General features: G+C 40.5%; 1 protein-coding gene and 1 long non-coding RNA gene across 11 annotated transcripts in view, besides 2 other annotated features; one reads left to right on the top strand and one right to left on the bottom strand.

Annotated features, from left to right (window-relative positions):
• RFTN1 (raftlin, lipid raft linker 1) overlaps window positions 1-27,372 on the top strand; it is a 197,855-nt gene that overhangs the window by 56,586 nt on the left and 113,897 nt on the right. For all 10 annotated transcript variants that reach the window (XM_017006007.3, NM_015150.2, XM_047447783.1 and 7 more), the window contains exon 3: window positions 23,077-23,263. In XM_017006007.3, the coding sequence (XP_016861496.1) occupies window positions 23,077-23,263 (187 nt within the window). The remainder of the gene's footprint in view (window positions 1-23,076; window positions 23,264-27,372) is intronic.
• LOC124906220 (uncharacterized) lies at window positions 150-17,630 on the bottom strand. Its single transcript, XR_007095840.1, has 2 exons — window positions 12,249-17,630; window positions 150-10,759 (listed from the first exon to the last, which is right to left on the bottom strand). It is a non-coding gene; the product is annotated as an uncharacterized LOC124906220 (long non-coding RNA).
• Window positions 716-1,235: an enhancer, noted in NCBI's record as "NANOG hESC enhancer chr3:16497386-16497905 (GRCh37/hg19 assembly coordinates)". NCBI's record gives its function as "activates a minimal SCP1, AML or CMV promoter by ChIP-STARR-seq in primed H9 embryonic stem cells {active_cell/tissue: H9 hESC(primed)}" and the evidence as "EXISTENCE:reporter gene assay evidence [ECO:0000049][PMID:30033119]".
• Window positions 23,260-23,389: a silencer, noted in NCBI's record as "silent region_14116". NCBI's record gives its function as "represses an Ori minimal core promoter by ATAC-STARR-seq in GM12878 lymphoblastoid cells {active_cell/tissue: GM12878}" and the evidence as "EXISTENCE:reporter gene assay evidence [ECO:0000049][PMID:35858748]".

The following is a 27,372-nucleotide window of genomic DNA, read 5'->3' as shown; positions in this document are numbered from 1 at the left end:
TGGTGAACTGTAAAAGATTAAAGAGCCTGTTTTCCTGCCAGCTACCAGAAAGTTTCACATATACTTATTAAAGTTCTTATAGCAATGGCATCTGTCATTTAAAAAAAAAACTTTTTATTGACACATAATACACAGAGTGTTTGTTTTTATGACAGAAGTGGTTCTTGAAAGAGTTGACCTCTCTATAACTCTAACACATTTCTATGTCAACCAGACATGACTCTAGGTCAGTGGTTCTCAGAGTGGTCTGGGGACCCCTGGGAGTTCTTAAGGTCCCAACTATTTTCAAAATGATACTAAGACCTTTGTTCGCCTTTTCCACTCTTATTCTTTGACAAGCGTGCAATGGAGTTTTCCTGTGGCTACACGACCCATGATGGTATCATCACTAATTAATATGTGCTTGGATATTCTTATTTTTAAAATGTCTTAGTTTTAAATGTTCTAACGTGAAGAATATAGATAGATGTAACCCACATAAACAAAAGTTCTTAGGGGGGTCCTCAAGAATTTTTCAAAGTGAAAAGTGGTTCTGTAATCCTTTTCTAAGAGTTTGGTCAGCGGAGGGTGTTTATTACTTTTTAATAATAAACTTATTCCTAACATACCTGAGTTTACAATCACCTTCCAATGTGTAAGAAGTTGAATGAGATGAAATTAGAAAGATAAACCATTCAGAAAGATAAACCATTCTCCTTGAGTTTCCTCTCATCTTTTAGGATGCTCCCAGAGGCTGGAGTACCTTATTTTCTAAAAAGAGGGGTATACTTTCTACCACAGATCTCCGAAGATGGGGTCTTTATTCTAACTTGCTAGGCATTCTTTTGAAAAGAACAGCCCTGGTTACTGTAATTGTTAATAAGGCAGCCTGTCGAGTGCCGGAATCCATTTTTCTGTGTGATTAGAACCCGGCTGCATTCCTCCTTCCTGACATTTCATCCACTCTGCTTCGAGGTCTTAAGAATTAGCTGTTCTTGGATTAAGTGCCCTTAATCAGCTCATTTTACATTACAATGTAAAGTTTCGCTCATGTTCTGCAGAGAACTTGATTTTCATTTGCTGTCCTTGATCACAGAATAGTAAGTGGATTCCCAGGAAATTTCATGAAGTGGAATGATAATGCAGAGACGGGGGTGGGGGCGGTGGGAGGGAGGTGTCGGGGGATGTGAAACTAATTGATTAGTTTAGAATCTTCTAATTTCCATGAGGAATGGAGGAGCCCAATTTGTATTTCTTCTTGGCATCATGTTCTCACAGATTGTCTGATGTTTCATTATCATCTTGACAGAACAGCCGATGTAGAATTATGTTGACTAGGATATCCGTTGAGTTTTTGCCATGTGCATTAATAGTCCATGATTAGATTATTTTGACTCTACTAGTTGGTTATCTGAGAGCTTGAGGAGTTAAGAAGAGAGTGTCTCTGAGTCCTGAGTTTTCAGTGCCACTGTCCTTTGAACACAGCAGACACCTCCACCCCCAACACCAATATACTGGGCTTTGAGGACCATAAATGACTGGTGTTAATGTCCTCTCCTAACAAAACTTGTGGGCAGAATGCTCCCCTATTTAGAATTTTCCTAATCCTTACATACAGCTGGCTTGAGTGTTTTCATCTGTCAGGACTAGTCCTTTGCCTGGTTTCAGTGTTAATTTGCATGCTTGTCATCCTAGGGTTTTGTTTTCCTGCCCCCAACCTGTTTTTGGAGTCTCTTCCCAGTGGATTTGAAAAATCCTGGCTACTAGCGTGAGGATTTTCACATACGCACACAAAGTAGAAGTGAACAGATTGTGGCTTTTGCCAAATAAGCCTCTTTGGTATTCCTCACCCCCTGAAAATAACATCATTTCTCCACGTAATCGTTATAGAAAAACACCACAGAGCAAATGCTCCTCACAAACACACGCCACCTAAACAAACTGGGCAGGTCATATGCTGCTGTTGCTGCAGCTGTTTGCTGATCCCAACAGGGTCCAACTCTTGTGAGCAAGGAGGTGTTTATGGCGTGGAGACAAAGCCTGGCTGCAGTGGGAGGGTTGCTGGCCGCCAGCCCTCATTTATCAGCCTGTTTTTCCTTACCCTTGGAAGACCTGGGATCTTCATGGGAGACAGCATGGTGGAGAGGAGGAGGCTGGGTTTTGCTGTCTTGTCCTTCCCAGTAACTGGTTCTGTATTTGCTCTATCCTTTGTTTTTGTTTTTTCAATCACGTAGTCATTTGCTAAGGATTTATTGAATTCTAGTTATGGACTAGGCAAAAAGCTAGTTGTGAGGAGAAGAAAATGAACAAGACAAAGTCCCTGCCTTCCCTGGGAGACACGCCAGAAAACTGTGATGGTGAGTGCTAGATGGTGCCTTGACACAAGGAGGGAGGCCTTGGTGTATAGGTTGAAGAAGTCTCTTCTAGAAAGAGTTGTGAAGGATGAGTAGGAATTCTCTAAGCAGTTAGGGAATGAGGAGGAGAGGAGAAAGGAGAGATTTGTGTCTTATGTATCCATCTACCCAATTCCCCCATTCCTGCCACCATGCAGGCATTATGAATTGATTGGGAACTGTTTCCCAGTGAGCTCACCCTTGGCTTCACAGTCTTTCTCCAGACGTGGCTCCAGGCAGCCTCTCACACAATCGTCCTCAGACTTGAGTGAGCAAACAAGTCAATGGCCCTGGTTATTGAAATGCAGGTCTGATTTAGTAGATCTGGGGATAGCCTGGGACCTGCATTCCTAATGTAAACACACTCTTCCCACCCCTAGATGATCCTGATGCAGGTGTGCTCACCAGCTGCCACTTTGCTGAGAAGTCAGCACGGCATGGTCTCACTCCATAGATGGACTGTGAATTGATAAGACCAATGTGGGGCAATTTGGCAATTCCTATTAAATTTTGACCCTGTAAAGATATATAAGAGTGGGTTTTTAGAAAATCATCATTGTGATAGAAACTATTAAAATCTATGGAAATGACTCTCATTAGGAGAGCAGAAGGTGACTAAGGAGACCTGGTTACAGTGGCAGCCTTGTCATCTAGGGAAGCTCAGATCTGGTGGAGCTCATACTCCTTGTAGAGGTCTGGCATCATGTCCTGTTCACCCCTGGCTTTGACTTTTGTCTTCTGCCTTCCATTTCTGCACTGTGGGAAGGAAGTCCTGGGATATGGAGAAGGTCAATAACATGTTATTTGCATTTTGCATTATTTGCATTATTTGCATTTTGCTTGCCTTAATTATATCACTCTCTCTTTATAAATGTCTTTGAATAACACTTTTAAAATTAAAATTGGAAAGTTGAATTTGCTTTAAATATTTGCTTCATTTATTTTCTTGTATCATACCCTGAAATTAAGCATGTCTGGTTTATGCTTGATATTTGTAACCACTGTGTAACTATTCTTATTTTTCTGGTTCTTCCATTGTAGACTCCCATAGCAGTAAATACGTTACATACGTTCATGCTTTATTTTTTTCCAATTACAATTATACCACTAAATTCACTGAGGAAATAAACATTACATTTTTAAAAGGCTTTGTTTTTCTTCGCTGTAATCAACCTTTCAAAGAAAACCTGAGCCCAAGAAGCTGACTATTGATGGAACTTAAACAAGTCCTTAAGCAAGGAACATCTTGGAGGCACACAACTGTGTAGAAGCAAGGAGGTGTCGTTTGTTGGTTTTTAAGAGTCATTTTGTTCTGATCTTGCTACATTCACTTGCTGCACTACTGTGGTATAGTAGAAAAAGCATAGGATTGGGATCTGAGGGTGTCTTCTATAGTCCTGGTACTGCTATGTCTCTTTAGCCAATTGTTTAATCCCTCTGGACATCATTTTATGATCTATAGAATGAGAACATTAGCTTAGTTAATTAGGGAGAATTCATAGTGTAGAGGTTAAGAGCATAGGCTCTGAATGCGTGGGTTTGAATGTCAGGTTCAACCCTTAGTGGCTCTGCAGGCTTGGGAAATTTACTCAACTTCTCTGGTCCAGAGTTTTCTCATCTTTAAAATGGAGATAATAATAGTACATAGCTGAGAGATTGAGAATTAAGCAAGGATGCTTGTAAAGCATATAAAACAATGTCTGGTGGACAATATATGTCCAATGGAAGGTAGCTATCATTGTTACTGTTGTTCATATTATTTCCATAATACTTCTATCATCATCATCATCATCCTCATTCTCATTTTTAAGGGCTTTTTCTGCTGTAAAATACATTGAAACCATTTGCTCAAAAAAGGAGATTAAAAAGCAGCATTTAAATTCTGAAACACTAAGTGCAAAAGAACTTGATAGGGAAGAACGGCTTGTGATATTGTCACATAACAGTTGACTGTCTTCGGCCTGACTTGGTTGCATTTCTCCACTCCCAGTGATCTCTAAATCCAGTGGATGTCTTCCATTCCTCATCTTACTGAAGGGCCTGGCAACACTGACCACTCCTTCACTGTCACAGTTGAGACCATAATTGGTCAGTAAATCAAAAAGGTTGGTTGGAACAGGGAATTATTTTTTAAAAGGTATATATTGTAAACATTTTATTTTAGCTTAAAACACAAAACTGATTGTGTTTTCACAGTGAATTCATTGAAAACAAACGTTCATCTGCCCATCATTAGGTGCAGAGCTGTGGTCTTTGACAGTGTTTCTGCTGACTAGCTCTGCGTCATCTTTTGGCATAAACCCATGATACAGTAGCTAAGCATTTCAATCAACATTGTGAAGATGGAGGGAGACTTTAGATGTTTACAAAGGTATCTGAATGTAACCCCGCACATTTTAAAATTACTTTTCCCTTCGCCTTCTATTATATCCTTACCTTCATCTACCTTGACAGCTATTATTTTTTTTTTAGTTTTCTTTAGAATCTTTGGCTTCTTATGAATAACTCTCATTCACTGTTTGTACAGTAGTTCCCCCTTATCCTTGGTTTCATTTTCTGTGGTTTTGGTTACCTATAGTCAACCGTGTTTCCAAAATATGAAATGAAAAATTCTAGAAATAATGCATAAGTTTTCAATTACTCACTATTCTGAGTAGCATGGTGAAATCTCGTGCCATCCTGCTCTATTCCGCCCAGGACGTGGATCATCTATTTGTCCTGTGCATCCATGCTGTCCATAATATACCCACCCATTACTCACTTAGTGGCCACTCAGTGATCAGTTCCACTGTCTTGGGATAGAACTGCTTGTGTTCAAGTCACCCTTATTTTACTCAACAGTGGCCCCAAAGCACAAAGCTAGTGATGCTGGCAATTCGGATATGCCAAAATGAAGCTGTAAAGAGCTTCCTTTAAGTGAGAAAGAAGAAAACTCATATGCTGAAGTTGCTAAGATCTAAGGTAAGAATGAATCTTCCATCTATGAAATTGTGAGGAAGGAAAAAAAAATCACGCTAGTAGTTTTGCTGTCACACCTCAGGCTGCAAAAGTTATGGCCACAGTGCATGACATGTGCTTAGTGAAGATGAAAAAGGCATTAAATTTTTAGGTGGAAGACACGAAGAGAAATGTGCTCTGATTGGCAGCAATTGGGTTCTTTACTATCTGTGGTTTCAGGCATATCCCCTGTGGAGAAGAGGGGACCACTCTATTTTAGTTTGTATTCATATAATATTTGATTAGGCTTATTCATTATAACCAGTGCAACTGGCATAAACAGGTTTGAGACTACACCTAGCCAGCTGTTGGTTAGCCTACAAGCCAGCTAATGAAGCAGAAAGTCATGGGTGTACTGGAGAGTGCCCTATTAGACTTCGTGTCCAGCATGCAGGGGCATCTACCATGTGTCCTGGAAGGAATGAAGGCTTTGGGGGATCTGACGTGGTGGGTAAGAGGAGGTCACTGATGAGACGTTCTGCTGTTCCGTCTTCCCTTGACTTCTAGGACAGCACTCTTCTGCTTTGCTTCTTGTCTCTCGGGCTGCTCCTCTGCCTCCTTTGCAGATCTGCCCATCTGCGCTCAGCCACTAACTATTGAGAGTTTGGTAATTCTTGGCTGGAGACCTGATCTTCTGTCTGCATGTTTTCTCATAATGAGAGTTTATCCAAGCCCCTGACCTTAGTGAGCATTTATGCACAGGTACGTGAGCCTCCGTTTTCTATCCCCAGTCCAGAGTTCTCCGTTTGAGCTGAAGATCCTATATTAATGGCCTGACTAATGTTTCCTCTGGGATATCACAGAGGCCCTCTGTAGTCAACAGGACCAAAACCAAGTGGTGAAAGTCACCACTATCTGTTCAGGTCCATGCAAACCAGAGACCTAGGAGCTGTCTTTGCCATCCCTCTCCCTCATCTCCCAGCCATCTCTTTGGCTTTGTTTTCTTATGATGGAAAAAAAAAAGAAAGAAAGAGACTTGAGAACAGGGTCTGATGAAAAGGTAAGAGAAGGCAAAATAACACCTTCTCTGAAGGTTGTGGAACAGACACTAGATTAGTTTTATAGCATTTGTTAAACTTATTGTTTTAATCCTGGTTTGGGGTGCCTGTCCTGCCTCAGGAGCAGTTAGAGACAGGAGGTAGAGACAGGCCAAGACCTAGTGTTGTTTGATGAAGCTAATTTGCCTGTGGAAGCCACCTGAGGGAGCATAGACATGGGAGACATGTTAACCTGAACAGGATGCTGGTGGACTTCAGGTCATGCAGCATCATGGTGCAGTGGGAGAGAGCCCTTGGATGGGCCTCAGGCTCTTATCCTACCTGCCTTCCTTCTCTGAGGCCACCACCTCTGTGCACCTGGATGTGGCCAGACACTATCTCTTCAGCCTCCCCTTTCTATGCCATAGCTAAGGATAGACATTTGGGGCTTATTTTTTCATTTTAAATGTTTTGCCTGAAATGCTCCCAGACAGAGCTGCAAGCAAGGCAGGCCTGAGGTGGGAGGAGAATTTAAGATATGAGCCCTTGTTCTGGCAGTTAGTAGAGGAAATTAAAAATTGTGGGTTAGGAAGGAAAGTGGAGAAGCTGACATTTTATGACTCTTTCAGAGAAATATTTTCTGTTTGCACATTTAATTTTACAAATTGGGATGGATTTAAGACAGGCATGGAGAGTGGTCAGGATGGGGGTGACATGTCTTCTGCCTTTGCTTTGTGTGCTATGTCCTTAATGTATTCCTGCCGCAATTCCACCTCTTTCCCCTGCTGCGCCTCCCTGGGGCCTCCTGCAGCCCTCCTCCTGCTGCTTCCTGGTCACTTCTAGAGATGGGGCCATTTTCTAGAACCAGCTCTCTAGGCTTCTGCAGTTCCATTGCAGACACGCCCTGCCCCTTCCTCCTCACATCCCTTTCCACAAGTACTTCAGCAGCCTGTAGTGGAGTTCAGTGCAAATCAGAGGCAGCAGTCTGTCAGCATGGCTTTTGTCTCGTTGATTTTTCTGAGTCTTGATGTTCTAGACCATTTTTGGCTCACATTCAGAAATGACTGAGAAATCAAAGTCAGTTGTGAAAGCTGAAGAATATTGATGCAGAGCTGGAGTGGTTCCGAGACTTAAGGATCAACTCGTGGACATGACAGTCTGTCACGTTAGTAACAATGTGTGAAGTGATTAGGGTTATGCATAATGGTGATAACAACAATGATTTTAGCAGCTCCCGTGTATGGAGGAGTTACCAGTTCCAGGTGCAGTTCTAGGACTTTATGTGCATTATCTCAATCTTCATAGCAGCCTGATGAGAAAGGTGTTATTTTTATCCTCTGTAGACAAAAATTGAGGCCCATAAGCATTCGTAATTCACCCAAAGTCATATGGCTAGTAAGGGATGGCACTGAAATTTGAACCCAGGTAATCTGGTCCAGATTAGGAACTGGAGCCAATACACCACCCATCTGCCTGAGCCAGATTTGATGAATAATCAGCTTTCTCTCCTATAATTCAATTCCAGATTTCTGTTCTTTATTTGCCTAATAGGATCTGCATAATTTAGAACTAAGATAAAATGCACTCTGGTTAAAACAAAGTAATAATCCTACTCATTTCGTATGAATTTGTGGGGATTTCAGATATCATGAAGCCTTCCCACTCCACTCCCCAAGGAACCAGACCAGAAAGTACAGGAAGGGGAAAACTATGTTAAGTTGAAACATTAATACCACACGGATGCATTTATTAAGTGTGTGAGGGAGATGTTGCCTTTCTGGAGCATAACATAAATCATCTGGAAAATTCAGTACAAAGCATTTCCAGGGACTCAACACAACCAACTGGAGGGCCTACTGTCTATTGATATTTCTGCTATGAATAATCTCTGTGGGATGCCGGCTGGCTGCTTGCCTCCAGCAGTTATTTCTAGTTTTGCTAGAGCAGTGAGTCGCAGCCTGTAATCCCCGCATGGGGTGAGACTTGTGACTCAGGAGGATGTTTGGGGCCTGCCAATGGGGCAGAAGAAGGTCGGGAACGCAGTGGCTCCTGAGAGGTAAACATTTTAGAAGCAGTGTGATTGTGTTACTAGAGATTCTTGAAGAGCAGGCATTTAAGGGACACAGGGAGCAAACCATCAAACATGAAGGCAGTAAAAAGTTGTACTTTTTTTCCTCCAATTTGGAATAGCGACAGTTAGTTAAGAAAAAAAATTTAATGTGCTTCAAGGAAGGTTACTCTTTTGATCCCACATTGTAAGGGTTGTGACAGCTTGTCCCCATTCCTTGGTGTTATGGATTTATTTTGGGAAAAAGAAGTGACCTCAACTCATAGCTGTAGCTAAAGAATGTTGAAAAAGGAATTAAATTGGCACCTCCATAAAAGTCAACAAGGGATCATGTTTTTTTTTGGACTGTAAGAAAATGCATCTGTTTAAAACAAAAGGTTCTAGGACAGAGCAGTCCAATAGAAATACAATATGACTTGTGAATGCCATTGAAAAATTTTCTAGTAACCACATTAAAAAATAAAAACAGGCAAGTTAATTTTCATGATATATTTTATTTAATCCAATATCTTAGACAATTTATCATTTCAATATGGAATCAATAAAAAATTATTATTGGGAGACTTTTTTTTTTTTTACCAAGTCTTTGAAATCCTGTGTGTATTTATTTATACTTTGGGCACATCTCAATCACACTGGCCACATTTCAGATGCTCGATAGCCACATGTGGCTGGTGGCTCCCTGGATGGAAGGGAGGAAGAAAAGAAAAAAGAGAGAAAAGAAGGAGAGAGGAAGAGAGGGAAGAAATAATACATTAGAGAAAATCTAAAGATTCCTTATAAGCACACAAATGCCTATCAGATCCTCATGCGTAACCTCAAAGGCCAGACTTCTCCATGGCCCATCTCAGTAAGTGATCACTGGCAAGTCCAGAAAGTACATTCCTTTGCCTGATTAAAAATCCATCTTTCCCTTCTTGTGCCAACGGTGGATAGATCGTATTTTTCTTCTGGGTGTAATTAGAAATGATTTTCACCTGATTGCTTCGTTGTATTAGTCTGAAGAACATCCCCCTGACCATTGGCTCTCACCTAATTGTTTACTTGATCTCATTCTCAAACTTTTCTCTTTTTCACTGGAATGCCTGAGAAGGCAGCTGGGAGGGACATGTGCATGTGCCCCCAAACACCATTAGGGACCCCGTTTTCTTTAGTGGGAACCAAAATGCCTCTGAAAAGCAGAATCCCAAGGCATCCTAAATGCCATCTCTTACATAGGCAAAAAATAGACCAGAGAGTGCTGATGTCGATTTTGCATGCAAATTGGTTAATGGAGCCGGAGCTGCTCAACTCGTGTGTATGATTTTCTATTTCCATGCACCAATTTGGGAGTTTATGCAAGAAGGCGGTAATCCTTCATGCAAAGCTGAAAATGCAGCTGTGGAAGCCTGTTTTAGAGAACAAGAGCTGTCTGGTCCTGTTCTCATTTGACTGAGTTTTGTTGAATCTTTTGTGATGTCATAAGACAGAGGAATATTATTTGTTAAAATGCATTTACAATGCATAGAACTTTATGTAGACTTAGTGAATGGTTTTGTGGCTGCACTGCTGAATATATGGTGTGTCTACACTACAGTGAGGAAAAGGAGAATCCACTGATAGGAATTTGCTGGTGTGTCTTGGGGTGGTGCCTTTGAACAAATGAGTGGTCTTCTTTTGTGGATAGAAGTTGTGCCAAGCCCCCAGAGTGTGGAATTTATTCTGTCATAAGCCTCTTGAAACTAGTCTTACACGTGGTCTTTATGATTTCCAATAGTTTCCATAGTTTGTCATTTTATATTACTATATTCAGAAGCTTTTGAAAATTCACCTAAGACTTTATTGATAAACCAGTGTGAAATTTTGTTACAGAGTCGAGACCTTGATGATAATAACTCAGGAGAAAAAGAAATGACCTCGTTTCCTGTGTAGATGCCAAACTCAAGTGTGCTCATACCCTCGGGTACCGCACTTTTTGGGAAATCTCTTGTTTTCCATTTTCTGCTGTTTGGAGTTGAGATTTCCAGTCACTGTCTTGTATACAACCATGGTCTTTGTCCTATTATTATTTGGCCATCTTTACAAAGTGAAATTTTTACATTCTTCCTTTGCTTTTGTTGTCATATCAACCTTTGATTTTCCCAGTGGCATGTTTTTGAATTATCCCAACTCAGCAGCTTTTTTCTTCCTGTTGCTTTTGTAACTCCTGCTCACACTAGCAGAGACAGAGAAGGATAGTTGGTGACCTGAAAGTGAGGTGTCCCTTCTGCTTGTTGGACGTGGACCGAGAGATGAGGCCGATGAAGATTTCCTGGAGATAGATGGTGGTGATGGTTGCACGACAATGTGAATTTCCCTAACGGTACCTAAAATTGTTAGAATAATAAATTTGATGTTAGGCATATTTTACCACAGTTTTTTTTTTTTTAAAGGTTTCTAGGTTTCCTCTGAGCTTTACACTGGCTGACTCTTTTCCAGGACTCATTATGGTTCTTTCATCTTGGTCTTGTGGCTAATCTGCTTTAGGGCCCAGGGAATATGGGGACCCCAGAGTTCACCATCCACCAGAGTGACTGCAGGTAGCAGTTTGCATTGGACTTTCTTTGACGGAGAGAGTGCTACTGCAGTCCTGATGTGGACTGTGGCCTTATCAGAGGAGAATTTCTTCATTTAATGACAGCTGCTAATGAGCCTTCTCCAGGCACTCTTGGTTTGGCCACCTTGTTGGCAAATAAACCCAGCATGGGTTCTGGCCCAGTGGAAATTATTTAATAGGCAAGACAGGGAAAAAAAAAAAAACTTCAATGAACAATTTGTAGAATTAAAAGTTGTGATAGATGCTGTGAAACAAATGATTGGTAATTAATGATATAGAACAGAGCTGTCCAATGGAAATATACTTTGAGCCACATATGTAAGTTTAAACTTTTTAAAAGTCACATTTTTAAAAGGTAAAAAGAAACACATGAAATTAATATTAATATATTTTATTTAATCTTAATATATCCAAAGTATTGTCATTTCAGTGTTATTAATATAAAAAACTTCTTACTTAGATATTTTACATTCTCTTTTTCATGCTAAATCTTTGAAATTGGTTGAACATTTTATACTTATACCACATTCATTCAGACTGGCCACATTTTGAGTGCTCAATAGCCACATGTGGCTACTGTCTTGGACAGCGCTGGTAGAGAGCTGTGTGTGTGTGTGTGTGTGTGTGTGTGTGTGTGTGTGAGAGAGAGAGAGAGAGAAAGAGAGAAAGAAAAAATGGCAACAGACAGAGAGAGAGACAGAGTGGGGGGAAAGAGAAAGAGCAGGAGAGAGAATTGTATGGATGAGGGAGGGGGACTCATCCTTAGACGGTGTGGATAAAGAAAGCCTCCCTATATCTCCTTTTTGTCTCTCTCTCTTTCTTTCTCTTTTTCTCTTCCTTGAATTTGTGAGGCCCATGAGAAGGTATCAGAGCAATCATACTCTTAGTTGAAACTGAGACTCCTCAAAAGTGCCTTGTAAAGATGCATTATTTTTCTTATATGTTTTCTCTAAGAGCTTGGCTGCAACAGCATTGTTTTTGGAACTGTTTACATCTGCATAGTAAGTCCTCACTTAACATTGTTAATAGGTTCTTGGAAACTGCAACTGTATATGAAACAGTGTGTAATGAAACCAATTTTACCATAGGCTAATTGAGAAAATCAAGAGTTAAATTCCTATGGCATATTTCTGGTCACAAAAACATTACCAAACTTCTCGATAAAGACCAAAACATTTCTAATACTAAACATGGAAATAAATGTGAGCTATACATACAGTTAAGAAAGATTAATAACAACAAATAAGATGATGACTTACCCAGTTTTTGGTAAAACAGCGAGTGATGGTGGTTGTAGTGGTGGTGGGTTAAATCAAGGAATAAATGTTTGCAAAGTGAAACTCGTAAGGAGCACTTACTCCCACCACGAAGTTCAAAACCAATAACAAATTTGGTGGGCTCGCCAAGTGCTTTCATCCCACATTGTTTATTGTGGTACATTGTGGTACACATTTTTATTTTACAATTATTTGTATTCATTCCTTCATTCATTTTCCAACTCGCTTATTCCAGTTCAGTGTCTGGGGTGGCCGGAGTCTGTCCCAGCAGCTCAGGATGCAAGGCAGGCGCCAGCCCTAGACAGGATGTCATTCCATTGCAGGAGTACTCTCACACATACACTCACACTTGCTCAGACTGGGACAATGTAGACATGGCTGTTTACCTAACATGCACATCTTTGGGATGTGGGAGGAAGCCGGAGCGCCTGGAAAAAACCCATAGGGATATGAAGAAATTAAGTCTTAAGATTTTATAATAGAAAATCCATACAGGATTTCTATGACAAATCATTTTACATTGTAAATCCAGTAGTTTAATTTTTATATTGTTTGTACATACTCATTAGTGGCTAGTCTTTGATGCCATCAGCATAATGTACTCTCAAAATCAAGAGAACTACCAAGAATGCCAGCTATCATACTCATTAGGAAAATGGCTTAAAACATTCATAATTTGCTTTCTTCTGACTCACAAAAAGCTCTTCTTGGATTTGGTATGGATGAGTTTCGTTACCGATTCTGAATAATTGGTGATCCTTTGTGTCTTCTCTAACAAAAGTACTTTTAAATGTATGAAATATTGTATTAATACTCCAGGTTCCATATCTAGTGGGTTGCTTTTAATATTTGAGTGCCCACTACTAAACCTAAGCATCAGGGGACCTGGTGTTTCTTAAAAAGGCTTCTTGATGTATCTTAGCCTGTGTCTTCTCTGACAAAATGGACTGGTGAGGTGAACAATAATGCCATCTTCTGAGTTTTATTAATGGATGCAGTCAATGGAAATTGTTGAGTCAGTCTCCTTACAAATACCTGGACACTGAATTTTTACAGTACAGTGGTGTGTGTGTGTGTGTGTGTGTGTGTGTGTGTGTTGTGTGTAATTCATTGACTATGTGTGATTCTCTGAAATGACGAGCAAACCAATAACAACTTAACTCTTCCCCGCTCCCATTGTCACGACAGCCTGATGCTTTAACAGTCATTTGTGGTCCGGCGGCCGGCAACTTAATTCATTTGATGAGGCATCTGTTGCTTTGCCAGTTACTCCCTAATTGACCTGCAGAATCTTAGGTTTATATAAGCTTAAAGAAGTTCTTTTAGTCTTACTGAGATTCCCCTGTGTGTTCATCCATGGTTTAATTAAGGTATTAAGAATAGTATTTCAGAACTCATTCAGCTCAATAGCAAAAATACAAATAACCCAACTTGAAAAATGGGCAGAGGGCTTGAATAGACATATCTCCCAAGGAGATATAAAAGTGGCCCACACATATATGAAAGAATGCTTATTAACATCACTAAACATCAGAGAAATGCAAATCAAAACCACAGTGAGATATCAGCTCACACCTGTTAGAATGGCTACTATCAAAAATACAAGAGATAAGAAGTGTTGGTGAGGATGTGAAGTATAAGAGAACCCTTGCACCCCGTTGGTGGGAATGTAAACTAGTACAGCCATTATAGAAAACAATATGGAGGTTCATCAAAAATTAAAAATAGAAATATCCTATGATCTAGCAATCCCATTACTGGGTATTTCTCCAAAGGAAATGAAATCAGTATGTTGAAGAGATATCTGCACTCCATGCAGCATTATTCACAATAGCCAGGATATGGAAACAACCTACATGTCCATCAATAGATGATTGGATAAATAAACTATGGTATATATATGCAATGGAGTATTATTCAGCCTTAAAAAAGAAGATGATCCTCCATTTACAACAGCATGGCTGAATCTAGAGGACATTCTGCTAAGTGAAATAAGCCAGACACAGAAGGAAAAATACTACGTAATCTTGCATATATGTGCAATCTTAAACTAAAAATCAAATACACAGAAACAGAGAGTAGAACTGTAGTTTGGGGGGTCAGGGAGATGCAGGGAGATGGGGAGTTGTAGGTCAAAGGTACAAAGTTGCAGTTATGTATGATAAGTAAATCTAGAGATCTAATGTACAACATGGGGACTATAGCTAATAACATCGCGTACTGGAGATCTGCTCAGGGAATAGATTTTAGGTACTCTTACCACGCACAAAAAAGAAAACTAACTATGTGAGATGATGGTTATGTTGGTTTTCTTGACTGTAGTAATCATTTGAACTAAGTATATATACATTGAGGCATCATGTTGTACACCTTGAATATACACAACAAAAATCCATTAAAATTTAAAAAAAGAATAGTTTTTTTTTGTGAAAGCATGTTATTGATTGCTAGGGCTCGGGGAGAGAGGGGAATGGGAAGAGTAACTGCTTAATGGACATGGAGTTTCCTTTGGGGGTGATGAAAATGTTTCATAACCTATAGATAGAGCTGATGGTTGTGCAACATCATGAAGATACTAAACGCCACCAAATAGTTCACTTTAAAATGATTAATTTTATGTTATGGAAATTTCACTTCAAATTTTAAAAATAGTGTTTTAATGGTGTGGTCTCCTGAGCCTGGATATGTGTTTTGTTTTGTTTTGTTTTGTTTTGTTTTTTAAGTTTCAGATACATGAGTTTGTTTAATGAGAAGATGACAGAAGTCTAAATTTTTAAAGCCCTTAGAACAAACATTTTAACTTATTCCACAGATTTAGAAATGGCACATACAGAAGACATGGGCTTTGTCTTCTGCAAACATTATTTTAAAAATTGGACTCCTATTTCCTACCTATACAATAAAAAGTCCTGCATCAAAAAGTGATTGATTTTAGTGTTTTGCTAAATTGGATCTACTGCAAAGCCCAGGCAGATTGATGTTATGGCACTAGCAGTCTTGAAGGAACTTTTTAAAAAAGAGAGATTTGGTTGAGCAGTGTAACATTATCAGCTTCACCTGTGAGGGAAATTTCCCGAGGGAATTGGTGTCTGTCTCATGTTGCACTCCTTCGTATTGACAGATCCATTAGCGGATGTAATTAGAAGACCAAAGTCAGACTTTGAATAATTAGGTTAAAGTCACAAATGATTTCTGGGCAAAATAATAGAAGCTGTTGCAGTTCAGCCTGCTGTTTCCTGCTTTACAGAGCTGAGTGAAATGGGCAGTTGCTGTATGCGGTGGTTTCTTTCTTGTGTTGGAGGCTGATACTTTCCCAATAATCAAGTTTGAAATAGCAAAGACCTCACTTTGGCCCTTTGCAAATGTCTGAAGGGCTTCGTTTCCAGGGAATAAATGGAGCTGTGGAATGTTTTTGCTAAACAAAACATAGTCATAGCAAAAACAAAATTTACTTTATCCCAGGAGTGTTAAGAAATGTGTGGTTTTGTGGATTATGTTTTTTCTCTGTTTTCATTCCTTTCTTTTCCTTTTTTTTTTTTTTTTTTTTTAGTTCTTGGAATAATGGTTTATTTATTTATATGGAGTTATTTTCTGAAAGAAAAACAAAACACTTATTTCAAAAGACGTTTGGACTCTCATGCCACCCAAAATACCTTTTCAGCAGTAGTTTCTATATTTTGATTTTATAAAAGCCTGTTATTGGTAATAGAGTCTGGAATAAAAAAAAATATTTCCAAAAGATTCAAAATGCAATCATGTGATTCTAAACTTTTTGTTCATCTCAGTGCCAATATAGAAAAAAGAGGAATTAGGAAATAGAGGCCAGTATCAAATACCTGCAGATGTGTCCTTGAAGCTTTTGATGTACCTTGTGATGATGTGGGATGAACAGAATGACATCCTCCTCCATGTATGACTGATGCTCACACTGCGCCTGGACAGTGGCAGGATCAGAAATAGGAAGAAGTGCGGGGCATCCATCCCCCAACTTTATCAAATGCCCCATCCATACTCTGCAGGCTGCTAGGTCTTGACTTTGGCCATATGGGATTGAGAAAAAAATTACAGTTACTTGTCACATTTAAAGATTAGGAAGATTAAGATTTCTGACTTCTTGAAAGTAAGAGTTAGAAGTTCTGGCACCATTGGGCCCCCCCCCCATTAGCAGTAACCATCTTGTCCCCTTGGGCAAGATGGGGCCTCGGTGTTCATTGCTGTCCCCCTGGCTCATGTCTCTTGTTTACTTTATTTTCCTGGCCTGCAGATACCTCTGTTAATGGCTTTGGGATCTGCACCAAGCCCTCTGTCCAGTAAGGAGATGAGACTCTGCCCCTGCCCAGGTAGGGGAGAAGCCAGGAGAGAATTGTCCTTTGCACTGCAGCAGGACAAAGCCCTGGTATGGGATGAAGATGGGCAGGAGTTCAAGACCAGCCTGGCCAACATAGTGAAACCCTGACTCTACTAAAAATACAAAAATTAGCTGAGCATGTTGGTGCACACCTGTAGTCCCAGCTACTCAGGGGGCTGAGGCAGGAGGATCACTTGAGTCCAGAAGGCGGAGGTTTCAGTGAGCCAAGATTGTGGCAGTGTGGGAGCACGTGGGTGTCCTTCCCAGATGAGGCGAGTGTGATCACTGTAGATAAAAACTATAGAACCTGACAGATTAGAAAGTGGAGAAAAAGTGTGATCAGCCCTCGCGGCAGCGGCCCACTCTGAGTAGGCTGGCATTTTCTCTTTTTGGAAGGTAACGGTGGCTAAGACAGCCATACCAGTGTCCCTTATCTTCAGACTACGAAGTTATAATTAGAAATTTTAACTTATGATGAGACGGTTCATGTGGTTCAGCCTTAGAGTCAGCTCCTGGTCAAAGGCCAGGAAGCCAAAGTAACTACAGAATAACTCATGCCGTTTCCTTGTAGCTCTCTTCTAGGGTGAAGGAGACCCATCATCCTTGATACTTAAAACGTTAGTTTTCTCTCCCACCGCTGGGCAGGCATCTCTTCCCTAGAACTCCTCTGAAAAGCTCCCCACACTCCCCCAGAGGACAGTTAGCCCAGAATCCCTAGTGCCTGGGCAGGCAGAAGGCTGGAACCCTCGGGCAGCAGTGATGTTTCTCCCGCCCACTGGCAGTGGGTATCTTCCAGCCTCTCCTTCCTCACTCCAGCCACCCACACATGCCATGTGGGTGTTCCTTCTTCCAATTCTAGCTCTGGTTTGGGGGAACTCTTTTAGTTAACATTGAAAACAATTGTTATATTATCCAATGTTACTTTTTAGTTAGAAACTGGTACCTCAGCCTCCAAATTGAAATAATAAAATTATTGCATTTTAAAGTTGAAAGCGCCTTTTGCAATTGCCCATCCAAAGTCTTCATTTTGTAAATGAGAGTCCCAAGAGATGGGGAGGGAGCTATATAGCTTGCCCAAGGTTACATAATTTGTAAATGAAATCAGGCAACTATTACAAAACAAAATAGTGGAGAGGTTACTCTGATAAGTAGGGTGAGAAACAGACCAACAGGCTACAACTGGTATGTCCATCCAAGTGGAGAAATCATTCCTTTGTTTATTCGCCTAGGAGTAACACTGGGGAATTGGTCACTTCATAAGAACTATGTTTTCTTTTGTATTTTTAAGGTTAGGGTTCAAATAGAAACATGAGATTAAGGCCTTTAATCATGTTTATAATAGGAGCCTTTTTTTATTGCTTTAAGATCATTGAGATTCATTTTTATTTGTTTCTTTTAACCATGAAGCTAAATTTACTTTGACAGCATGCATACCAAAAATTAAAGCCACAAAATTGCTCAGCTTTGACAGGAGATACATCTTTAGATTTTAAGATAAAAATTTAAAAGGTATTATGTTTTTTTCAGGAAGCATTTAAATATAAAGTGGTTGATTGACTAACATTTTTAGTGCACCGATTTGGGAGCATGGAGGTTAAGGAGTGTGGGTGGGAATGGGGAAGGATTTCATGGCCCCACATCATGTTGTCATCACCATCCCGGGGTGACCAGTCCTCCCATTCACCACAGCCAGTGCCACCGCCTGTGATTGTTTTGTGTTCTGTAGATTACACACACATCATCCCACGTGATCCTCACAATGACGCTATGATGGAAGACAGGTTGATGTTGTTATCACCATTTTATACAAAGAAATTGAGTGTTCACATGACTGGGGTTAGCAGGCAGTGAGGAGAGCAGCTGGTATAGAAACCTGTCTTCTTTTTTTTTTTTTTTTTTTTTTTTTTTTTTTTTGAGACAGAGTTCTTACTCTGTCTCCCAGGCTGGAGTGCAGTGGCACGATTTCAGCTCACTGCAACCTCTGCCTCCTGGACTCAAGTGATCCTCCCTCCTCAGCCCCCTGAGTAGCTGGGACTATAGGTGCACGCCAACATGCGCAGCTAATTTTTGTATTTTGGGTAGAGACAGGGTTTCACCATGTTGGCCAGGCTGGTCTCGAACTCCTGCTCTCAAATGATCCACCCGCCTCGGCCTCCTAAAGTGCTGCGATTACAAGCGTGAGCCACCATGCCCAGCAAGAACCCTGTCTTCTAAACATATTAACTACTTTTATTTTTTATTTTAGTGTGATGCATAAGAGGAAACAAATGTATAAATTATCAAACTCTCAATAAAGGTTTATTTTATTATAGCAGGAAGAGTTTGAAAAATTTGAATCATTTAAAGAATATTGAACTGTAGAGACCAATATGAGTTTGAGTTAAATATGAGTTTGAGGGCCCATATTCGATGACTCACAGATGCTGTTTGTATATAGTTTTATCAAAGGAGAGGGGATCTTGGTGCTGGATAGTATTTTTAGGTTTGATTGACAACGTGCAGTTGCCTTCCATAAAGCCCTACACTCCTACCAAAAGTACATTCAGTTTTTCAAATAAAACAAACTGTCTCCGCCACATGTGGTTTTGCCCTTTTGGTTCAGCAGCCTTGTAATCTGTTGACAGCCCCTGGTTTCCATAAGGTCGACACCCAGCATTTGCAGGCTCTGGGACAAGAGGACAAAAGGAGATCTTGGGCTGGGCCAGGATTAGGGTGAGGGGAGTGAGGCAACATTTATAATAAATAAAGACAAGATCAGTGACAGTATTGTGCAAGCCGTATTGGAGCTTAAAGTGAAAGGAAAAAACACCGATCCTATCTTTTATTTATTTATTTATTTATTTATTTAGTAACTCTGTCACCCCAGGCTGGAGTGCAGTGGTGCGATCTCAGCTCACTGCATCCTTGACCTCTCTGGGCTCAAGTGATCCTCCCATCTCAGCCTCCCTAGTAGCTGGCACTACAGGCACATGCCACCACACTCAGTTAATTTTTGTATTTTTTTGTACAGATGGAGTTTTGCCCTATTGCCTAGGCTAGTCTCAAACTCCTGGGCTCAAGCGATTCTCCTTGAGGGCAGGGTGGTATTGCCCTTCAAACCTAAAAATGCACACACTCTTTGTCCAGCAACCCTACTACTGGTAGTACTTCTATGGCTGGACTCATGAATGTCTTTCAAGATATATGGACAAAGGTATTTACTACTAGGTTGCTCTAACAGCCCTCAAGAAAGGTTCACTCCCACCACGATGAGGGCCATGCCTGTTTCCCCAACACCCTTGCATGCAGTGAATATTACAGAAGTGAAAAAGGAAAATGTATTATTCCAATAGCAATAAAATATAGAATAACTAGGAATAAACCTGATAAATATGTGCTATCTGTGTGAAGAAAACTTTAGCATGCTCCAGAGGGACCCAAAGGAAGACTTGACCAAATCAAAATTTTGCCAGTTTCTTGCATGGGAACTTGTAGCATGGTGAAAATATTCATTCTCAGTCAAGCTATGATTTGAACATGACCCAATAAAAATACCCACAGACTTTTTTAGTGGAGCAAGGGGAATTTACTGAGCTGATTTTTAAAGATCATTTAGAAAAACGAATTAGGAAAATTCAAAATATAAACAGGAATATAGGAAGATTTGACAAGTAGTTTAACCAGATATTAAAACATAATATGAAATTAAAATTGTTTGAAGTAGTGTTTTATACAAATAGATTAATGGATCACAGTCATAAACTCATATTTGGGAATATAATAAATGATAAGTGGCATATGATATATGGCATCTCAAATCAATGAGGAAAAATGGATAAACCCCTGTGGTGGGGGGGTGTTCAATTCATATTGCACACTTTACATGGGATAAATTCCAAATCGATAAAAGATTTATATGCAAAAAATGAAATATGTATTATGGGAATTCACAAGAGAATTGTTTTATAATCCCAGGTCTTTCTGCTATGACACAAAACTCAGAAGCCATTGAAAGCAAGATTGGTAAATTCAGCTTCATTTAAAAAGTTTTTCATGGAATCACTTGAACCCAGGAGGTAGAGTTTGCAGTGAGCGGGGATAGCACCACCGCACTCCAGCCTGGGCAACAGAGAGAGACTTTGTCTTAAAAAAAAAAAAAAAATTTTTTTTTTCATGGCAAAACCCACTATATGCAAAGTCAAAAGGCAAGCAACAAATTGGGGGCAGATACATCAAAAACTAAATTTCCTAATATGTAAAGAGTTCTTACAAACCAATAGAAAAAAAGCCCAATGACTAAATAGGACACGAGGCAAAGATAATGGACAGACAGTTCACAGACAAGGAGACACAGCATTTAAATATGAAATGTTTAATAAGAAAAAATACAAATTACATAATAAGATAAATATAAGTTACCATGTCACAGGGATCTTTTTTTTTCCACTGAGAATTGTCAGAGTATGGGAAAAGAAATAACTTTATACATCACTGATGGCAGATAAATCCATAATACTCTATGGGGGAAATAGCACTAGCTGAAAAAATTACAATGCACACATACATATGTGTGTGATATATATATATATATATATATATATATTTACATCTCTGATTTTTTATTTATTTACTTTTTGTGGGTACATAGTAGGTGTATATATTTATAGGGTACATGAGATGTTTTGATACAGGCACACAATGCATATATTTTTAACCCAGCAATTCCACATCTAGGAATTTATTTTGTATATGTACTATAAGCGCACACATGCAAAATCATGTAGGAATGAGATTTTTCACTAAAAGATTACTTGTAAGAGCAAAAGTTTGCATACTCCATGGTATATCACACAATGGATCTGTAGAAAAGAATGAGAAAGCACTCTGTGTACTGCTATGAAATGGTCTCTTAAGAAAAGTATACTGTTTTGTTTTGTTTTTTTGCTTTTTGAGACGGAGTTTAGCTCTTGTTGCCCAGGCTGGAGTGCAGTGGCGCAATCTCGGCTCACTGCAACCTTCGCCTCCCAGGTTCAAGAGATTCTTCCGCCTCAGCCTCCCGAGTAGCTGGGATTACAGGCATGCACCACCACACCGGACTAATTTTTTATATTTTTAGCAGAGATGGGGTTTCATCATGTTGGCCAGGCTGGTCTCAAACTCCTGACCTCAAGTGATCCGCCTACCTTGGCCTCCCAAAGTGCGGGGATAACAGGCGTGAGCCACTGCCCCTGGCCGAAAAGTATACTGTTAATTGATAAAAATTGATTCTAAAAAGCTAGGTGTGTAATGTTATGCTGACATTTGTGTAGAAGAGGAGGGAAATATATAGACCTGTTCACTTTTGTATGAATTCTTTGATTGTTAATGCATATACACACAAAAAGATAATACTGATTTCCTCTAAGGAAATAAATGTAGGAGGTAGAGGATAGGGCTAGGATGTAGACTTTTCACTGAATACACATTTGTACCTTTTGACTTTTGAACGTTGTTTGCCCTTCTCAAAAATAAATAAATTAAAAATCCAAATTTTAAAATAATTCAATAGGTGAAAATATTCCTGGTTTTTATTTGTGTAATTCTAATGCTGAATTAAAGTGTGTTTTCAAATATTGGTTAGCCTTTTACACTTTTAAGGCAATTGCCTATTCATATATTTTTCCCGTTTAAAAATTATTTTGGGGTGGGGAGTGTTTTGCAAATTTAAGGAAATTAGCCCTTTGTCTTAAGGGTCACAGAAATTTTGTTCCAGTTTGTCTTTTGACTTTGTTTATGCTGCTTTTTGCCACCTAGTATTTTTATATTTGCTCAATGTATTTTTCTTCTTTTCCCTTCCCTTCTTCCTTTCTTTCTTTATTTCTGTGTGTTTTTTTTTAGAGGGTGGAAATGACTTTTTCATTGTGATCACTGATAAGACGACTCTAGATCTAAGACAGTCCATTATTATTTTATTTTATTTCATTTTTGAGACAGTGGCTTGCTCTGTTGCCCAGGCTAGAGTGCAGTGGCCCTATCATGGCTCACTGCAAACCTCCCCATTTCCAGCTCAAGCGATCTTCCCACCTCAGCCTCCTGAGTAGCCAGGACCACAAGCACTGGCTAATTTTGAGGGGGTTTTTTTGTTTTTGTTTGTTTGTTTGTTTGTTTGTTTGTTTGTTTAAGAGAGACCGAGTTTTACTATGTTGCCCAGGCTGGTCTCAAACTTCTCGGCTCAAGCGATCCATCTGCCTCGGCCTCTCAGAGTGCTGGGATTATAGGCCTGAGCCATCACGCCTGGCCGACATCCAATTATTAATGCCTTTGGGTGATTTGGAAAACGACAGGCTGCTTATAAAGTCTGTTTGAAGACAGTAAAAACTGGGACAAACTCATTTTAGCAGTGACCTAGAGGATCCTCCCCGAGGGCAAGGGAAGAGGGGTTTGGGCAGGGCTGAGTGGGCGTTGTGATGGGTCTTTGATGAGCCTCTCCTCTCTCCACTCCAGCGGAGCTCCCTGGGTCCTCAGCAGTGAGGCTGGCCTCCCTGCGTGACCTGCCCGCCCAGCTCCTGGAGCTGTACCAGCAGGGCTTCTCGCTGGCGGCCCTGCACCCCTTCGTGCAGCCCACCCATGAGCGGGAGAAGACGCCCCTGGAGCACATCTTTAGAGCCATCCTGATCAAGAAAACCGACAGGTAAGGCCTCCACGGGTGAATGGGTAGCATCCTGTTGCGGCTAAGTTATGCTCAATAGAGGAGGGGAAGTGAGAGGATGGGGTTGGGGGTTGAAATTTGCATGCTGTCCTCAGGGCCTCAGCCCTCAGACAGGTGAGGCAAACAGTTAGACAACCAGAGAGGTTTCTTTCCTAGCATCCTGCGATGAAAAACAAATGCATGTCCAACTGCAAGTAGAGAGTTCCATTTTACATTCTTTCCCTCTTTTAACTCACTGGATTAAACTCAGCTAGAAAAATGTCTCCTCAGAAGAAGCATATGCCCAGAATGATGTGGCTAGTAAAAGTGCAATACTTTTAAACTGAAAGGCATGACTGGAAAACAAATAATTTTGTTTAGAGGCTATAGACAAACTTAATGTCTTCCCGCAAAGTCTAGAAATACTTTAACATTTTGCGCCTACCATAAATTCTGTCAATCACTTGACAGTTAAAAAAATACAAAAAATAAACACCACCTAAATAAAATGCTATAATTGGTTTGGTCTTGATTTAGATTTTCAGGGCTTGGGGATGTTTTTCAGTTTGGCTTGCCCAGTTGAATGCTTATGCCTATATTTCAGTTGAGCCTAATTAAGAAAAGAGAAGTGGGGTTAGTCTTTCAAAAGGAACAATATTAATTTTTTTAAAAAAAAAAAACAGTGAGGATGGGATGGAGAGAGCAGTATGTTTTTCCTGCTTTCATAAAAATAAAAATTAAAATGAAGTCTGGGAAAGGAAATCAGATTTGTCTTTTGGCCAACTATCATAGAAGGAATGACAGCATGTGCCACATTTTAAAAAGGGAGTACAGAGCAGCTCCTCCTTGTTCTCTCCTTTTAAAGTCACTTTGCAGGTAGACAAAGCATTTGGCTGGTGTGCTCATAAGGGACAGCTGTGAGGCATGAGGTTGCGTGTCTAAGACTGACTCCTCTTTCCTTTCCTTTCCTTTATTTCTTCATGGTTGATCAAGCTCTGGGGCTCTTACTCTACATCAACACACATTACGTCAACACACATTAGAATTCAAAGTGAAAGGTGGTGCATGTTTTTGCTCGAACCCAGAATTCACACATGTTTTGGTAGGGCAAGACTTTTCTCAGTGTCTGCCTTTTATGTGTATTAGTTTGTCTTTCTCTCTCTCTCTCTTTTTTTTTTCTGTAGAAACAAGGTCTCGCTATGTTGCCTAGGCTGATCTTGAAATCCTGGCCTCAAGCGATCCTCCCACCTTGGCCTCCCAAACCACTGGGATTATGGGTGTGAGCCACTGAGCCTGGCTGCATATTGGTTTCTTTTCTTTTCTTTTTTATTTCCTTGAGATGGGGTCTCACTCTGTCACCCAGGCTGGAGCACAGTGGCATGATCTCAGCTCACTGCAACCTTTGCCTCTCAGGCTTAAGCCATCCTCCCACCTCAGCCTCCCAGGTAACTGGGACTACAGGTGCACGCCACCATGCCTGGCTAATTTTTTTATTTTGGGTAGAGACCGGGTTTCGCCATGTTGCCTAGACTGGTCTGGAACTTCTGGGCTCAAGAGAGTTTCCCACATAGGCCTCTCAAAGTGCTGGGATTAGAGGTGTGAGCCACCACGCCCAGTCCATTATTGGTTCCTTTAGGTTGATTGGCTGTTGATCATTATCTGGGTCAATCATGAGAAGATTGGGGGCCACAGTGGTTTTGAGTGACACTGACACATAGGATATGTATAATGACAGTAGCTTATATTTAGTGAGCACTCACTGTATGTGAGGCTTGATCATTATCATTTCATCTGTATCATATGGCTATGAAATAAGTGTCATCTTTGTTCCCATTTTAAAGGTGAGAAAACTGAGACACAAATGTTGAGTTGTCAAGGTCACACGGATGGCAGCAAGCAGAGTTCTGCCTTGCTCCCAGGAAGGCTGTCTCCCGTACCTGCATTCTTAATCCTGGCATGAAGCACGTGCTGAGTTCCTTTACCCACAATTCTTGTGGAGAACCACTTTAGGAAAAGAAAGTGGGGGAGGATATCTTTGATCTTCCATAAAGAAGTACTTTTATTACTCAACCTTTCCCCCATTTTACCCCTCAGTAGTCAGTAAGTAAATCAGAATTTCAGCAAGGAAACAAAACAGACAAATGAGTTGTATGGATTCTATAAGGCATCCACTGGGCTCCAGGGATTCTATTCTGCAGATTATCCGAGTGGCCTTAGTGTTTAAAGGAGACAAGTCCATTTGGGTCAGATCACTGGCACATCCTTCAGTGTGATCTGCCATAGGCGGTGACATGAGCTCAGGACTTGGCCTGAGCTTAACTCAAAAAGTGAAGGTGTATCTTTTTTTTTTTTTCTCCCTGCTGTGGAGCAACACTTCTCAAACTTTAATGTGCTTGTGAGTCTCCTGGGGATATGGTTAAAGAGCAGAGTCTGATATAGCAGGTCTCAGGGGAGGCCTGGGACTCTACATTTCTAACTTGTTTCCAGATGGGGCAGATGCTGATGGTCCGTGGCACGCACTTTGAGTAGCAAGTGTGTGGAGGACCTAATTCTTGCCTGGCTTCATGCCTGGCACTCAGCAACACTATTGGGGCTTGCCACTTTACTCCTAGGAGAGCTGTAAGCACCAGGCTAGGTAAGAAAGAACACAGAACTCGTGGCCAGGAGGCCTGCGTTCTAGGCTGCACTTGGCTACTAGTAAGCAGTGTCGTGCAAGGGGCACATCGATGGATCTTTCTCGGCCTCCGTATTCTAGCTGCTACAATGAGGGGCTGTTACTACATGATTTGCAAGGCTTGCACCAAACTCTAAGTTATCTGATGGGACAAGATGGGTGAGGAAGCCCGTCTTCAGAAATAAGAACCACCACTTTGGGGAATAGTGCATTATAAGCCAGCAGTGAAGCTGGGGGCTCAGTAGGGGTTGTTTACTTCCACTAACGTAGCATGAACAAATGAACTTACTTTCCAGAAGACAAAAATGAGCAAACTGTTGAGAGGAATGAGACTTTGTATGCAGGAGGGTTTTCAAGAAAGGGAAGTTGGCAGTCTCCTTGGGTTTGAGCTGACTTTCATCCAGAGTTCCTGAACTGCCTGCCTGATGAACTTAATGAACATTTCAACTCCTGGACAAGCAGATCCAGAGAAGGAAATTCCTTAGGTAACTTTGTGTTGAGTCTTTGGAACTGCCTTTTTTAAAAAAATGCAAAAGTTTGATAATTTATCATGTAAAATGAGGCAAAAATGATCAAGAGGATCATCCCCACTTCTAGCCCCAATGGTATTAGGTGGGAGGAGTGGTGGAGGTTGGAAGCAGTCATTGTAAAATATAATTTTAAAGTACAGGAATTTTCTCTCCTAGCAAATGCAATAACTGCATTTTTTTTGTATTATGGGGAAAAGACTCCAACGATCTTAAAAATAAGCAAACAAAAAAACATCAAGGCCAGGTGCAGTGGCTCACACCTATAATCCCAGCACTTTGGGAGACCAAGGCAGAAGATTCTCTTGAGCTCAGAAGTTCCAGACCAGCCTGGGCAAAGTAGAGAGACCTAGTAGCTACTAAAAATTTTAAAAATTAGCTGGGTGTAGTGGCGCACGCCTGTAGTCCCAGCTACCCGGGAGGCTGAGGTGGGAGGATTACTTGAGCCCACGAGCTGGAGGCTCCTGGGATGTGACTGTGTTATTGCACTTCAGCCTGGGTGACAGAATGAGATCCTGTCTCAAGAAACAACAACAACAAAAAAAAAACGGACTTTTTCTTTATCAATAGGGAGTTTAAGTAGTAAAAACAAAACAAAGGAAGACTTTTGTGATTAATTTTTAATTCAGACAGTTAAAGTGATACTTTTCACAAAGTCTGCCAAAGTTCTGACAGTTATAGATGCTGTTAAATGAAATGAGTTAGCTTTTAAAAGAGAAAGAAATACTTGGTTAATATTTTTCAAGTGGAGCACATTGAAAGAGATGTAGATACACATTCTAGATTATTGTTGACCCAAGTGAACTTCATTACCAAGAATCACCATGAGATGACTCTGTGAAACTTCGATATCAACCTAATGTGTTTGGAGGGTTCACATAAAATTTTTAACAAATAACTGGGCTTTGGGA

This window comes from Homo sapiens, chromosome 3 (assembly GCF_000001405.40).
Source record: "Homo sapiens chromosome 3, GRCh38.p14 Primary Assembly".
Lineage (NCBI taxonomy): Eukaryota > Metazoa > Chordata > Mammalia > Primates > Hominidae > Homo > Homo sapiens.
Note: the sequence above shows the minus strand (reverse complement) of the source record. Positions and strands in the feature narration are given on the sequence as shown.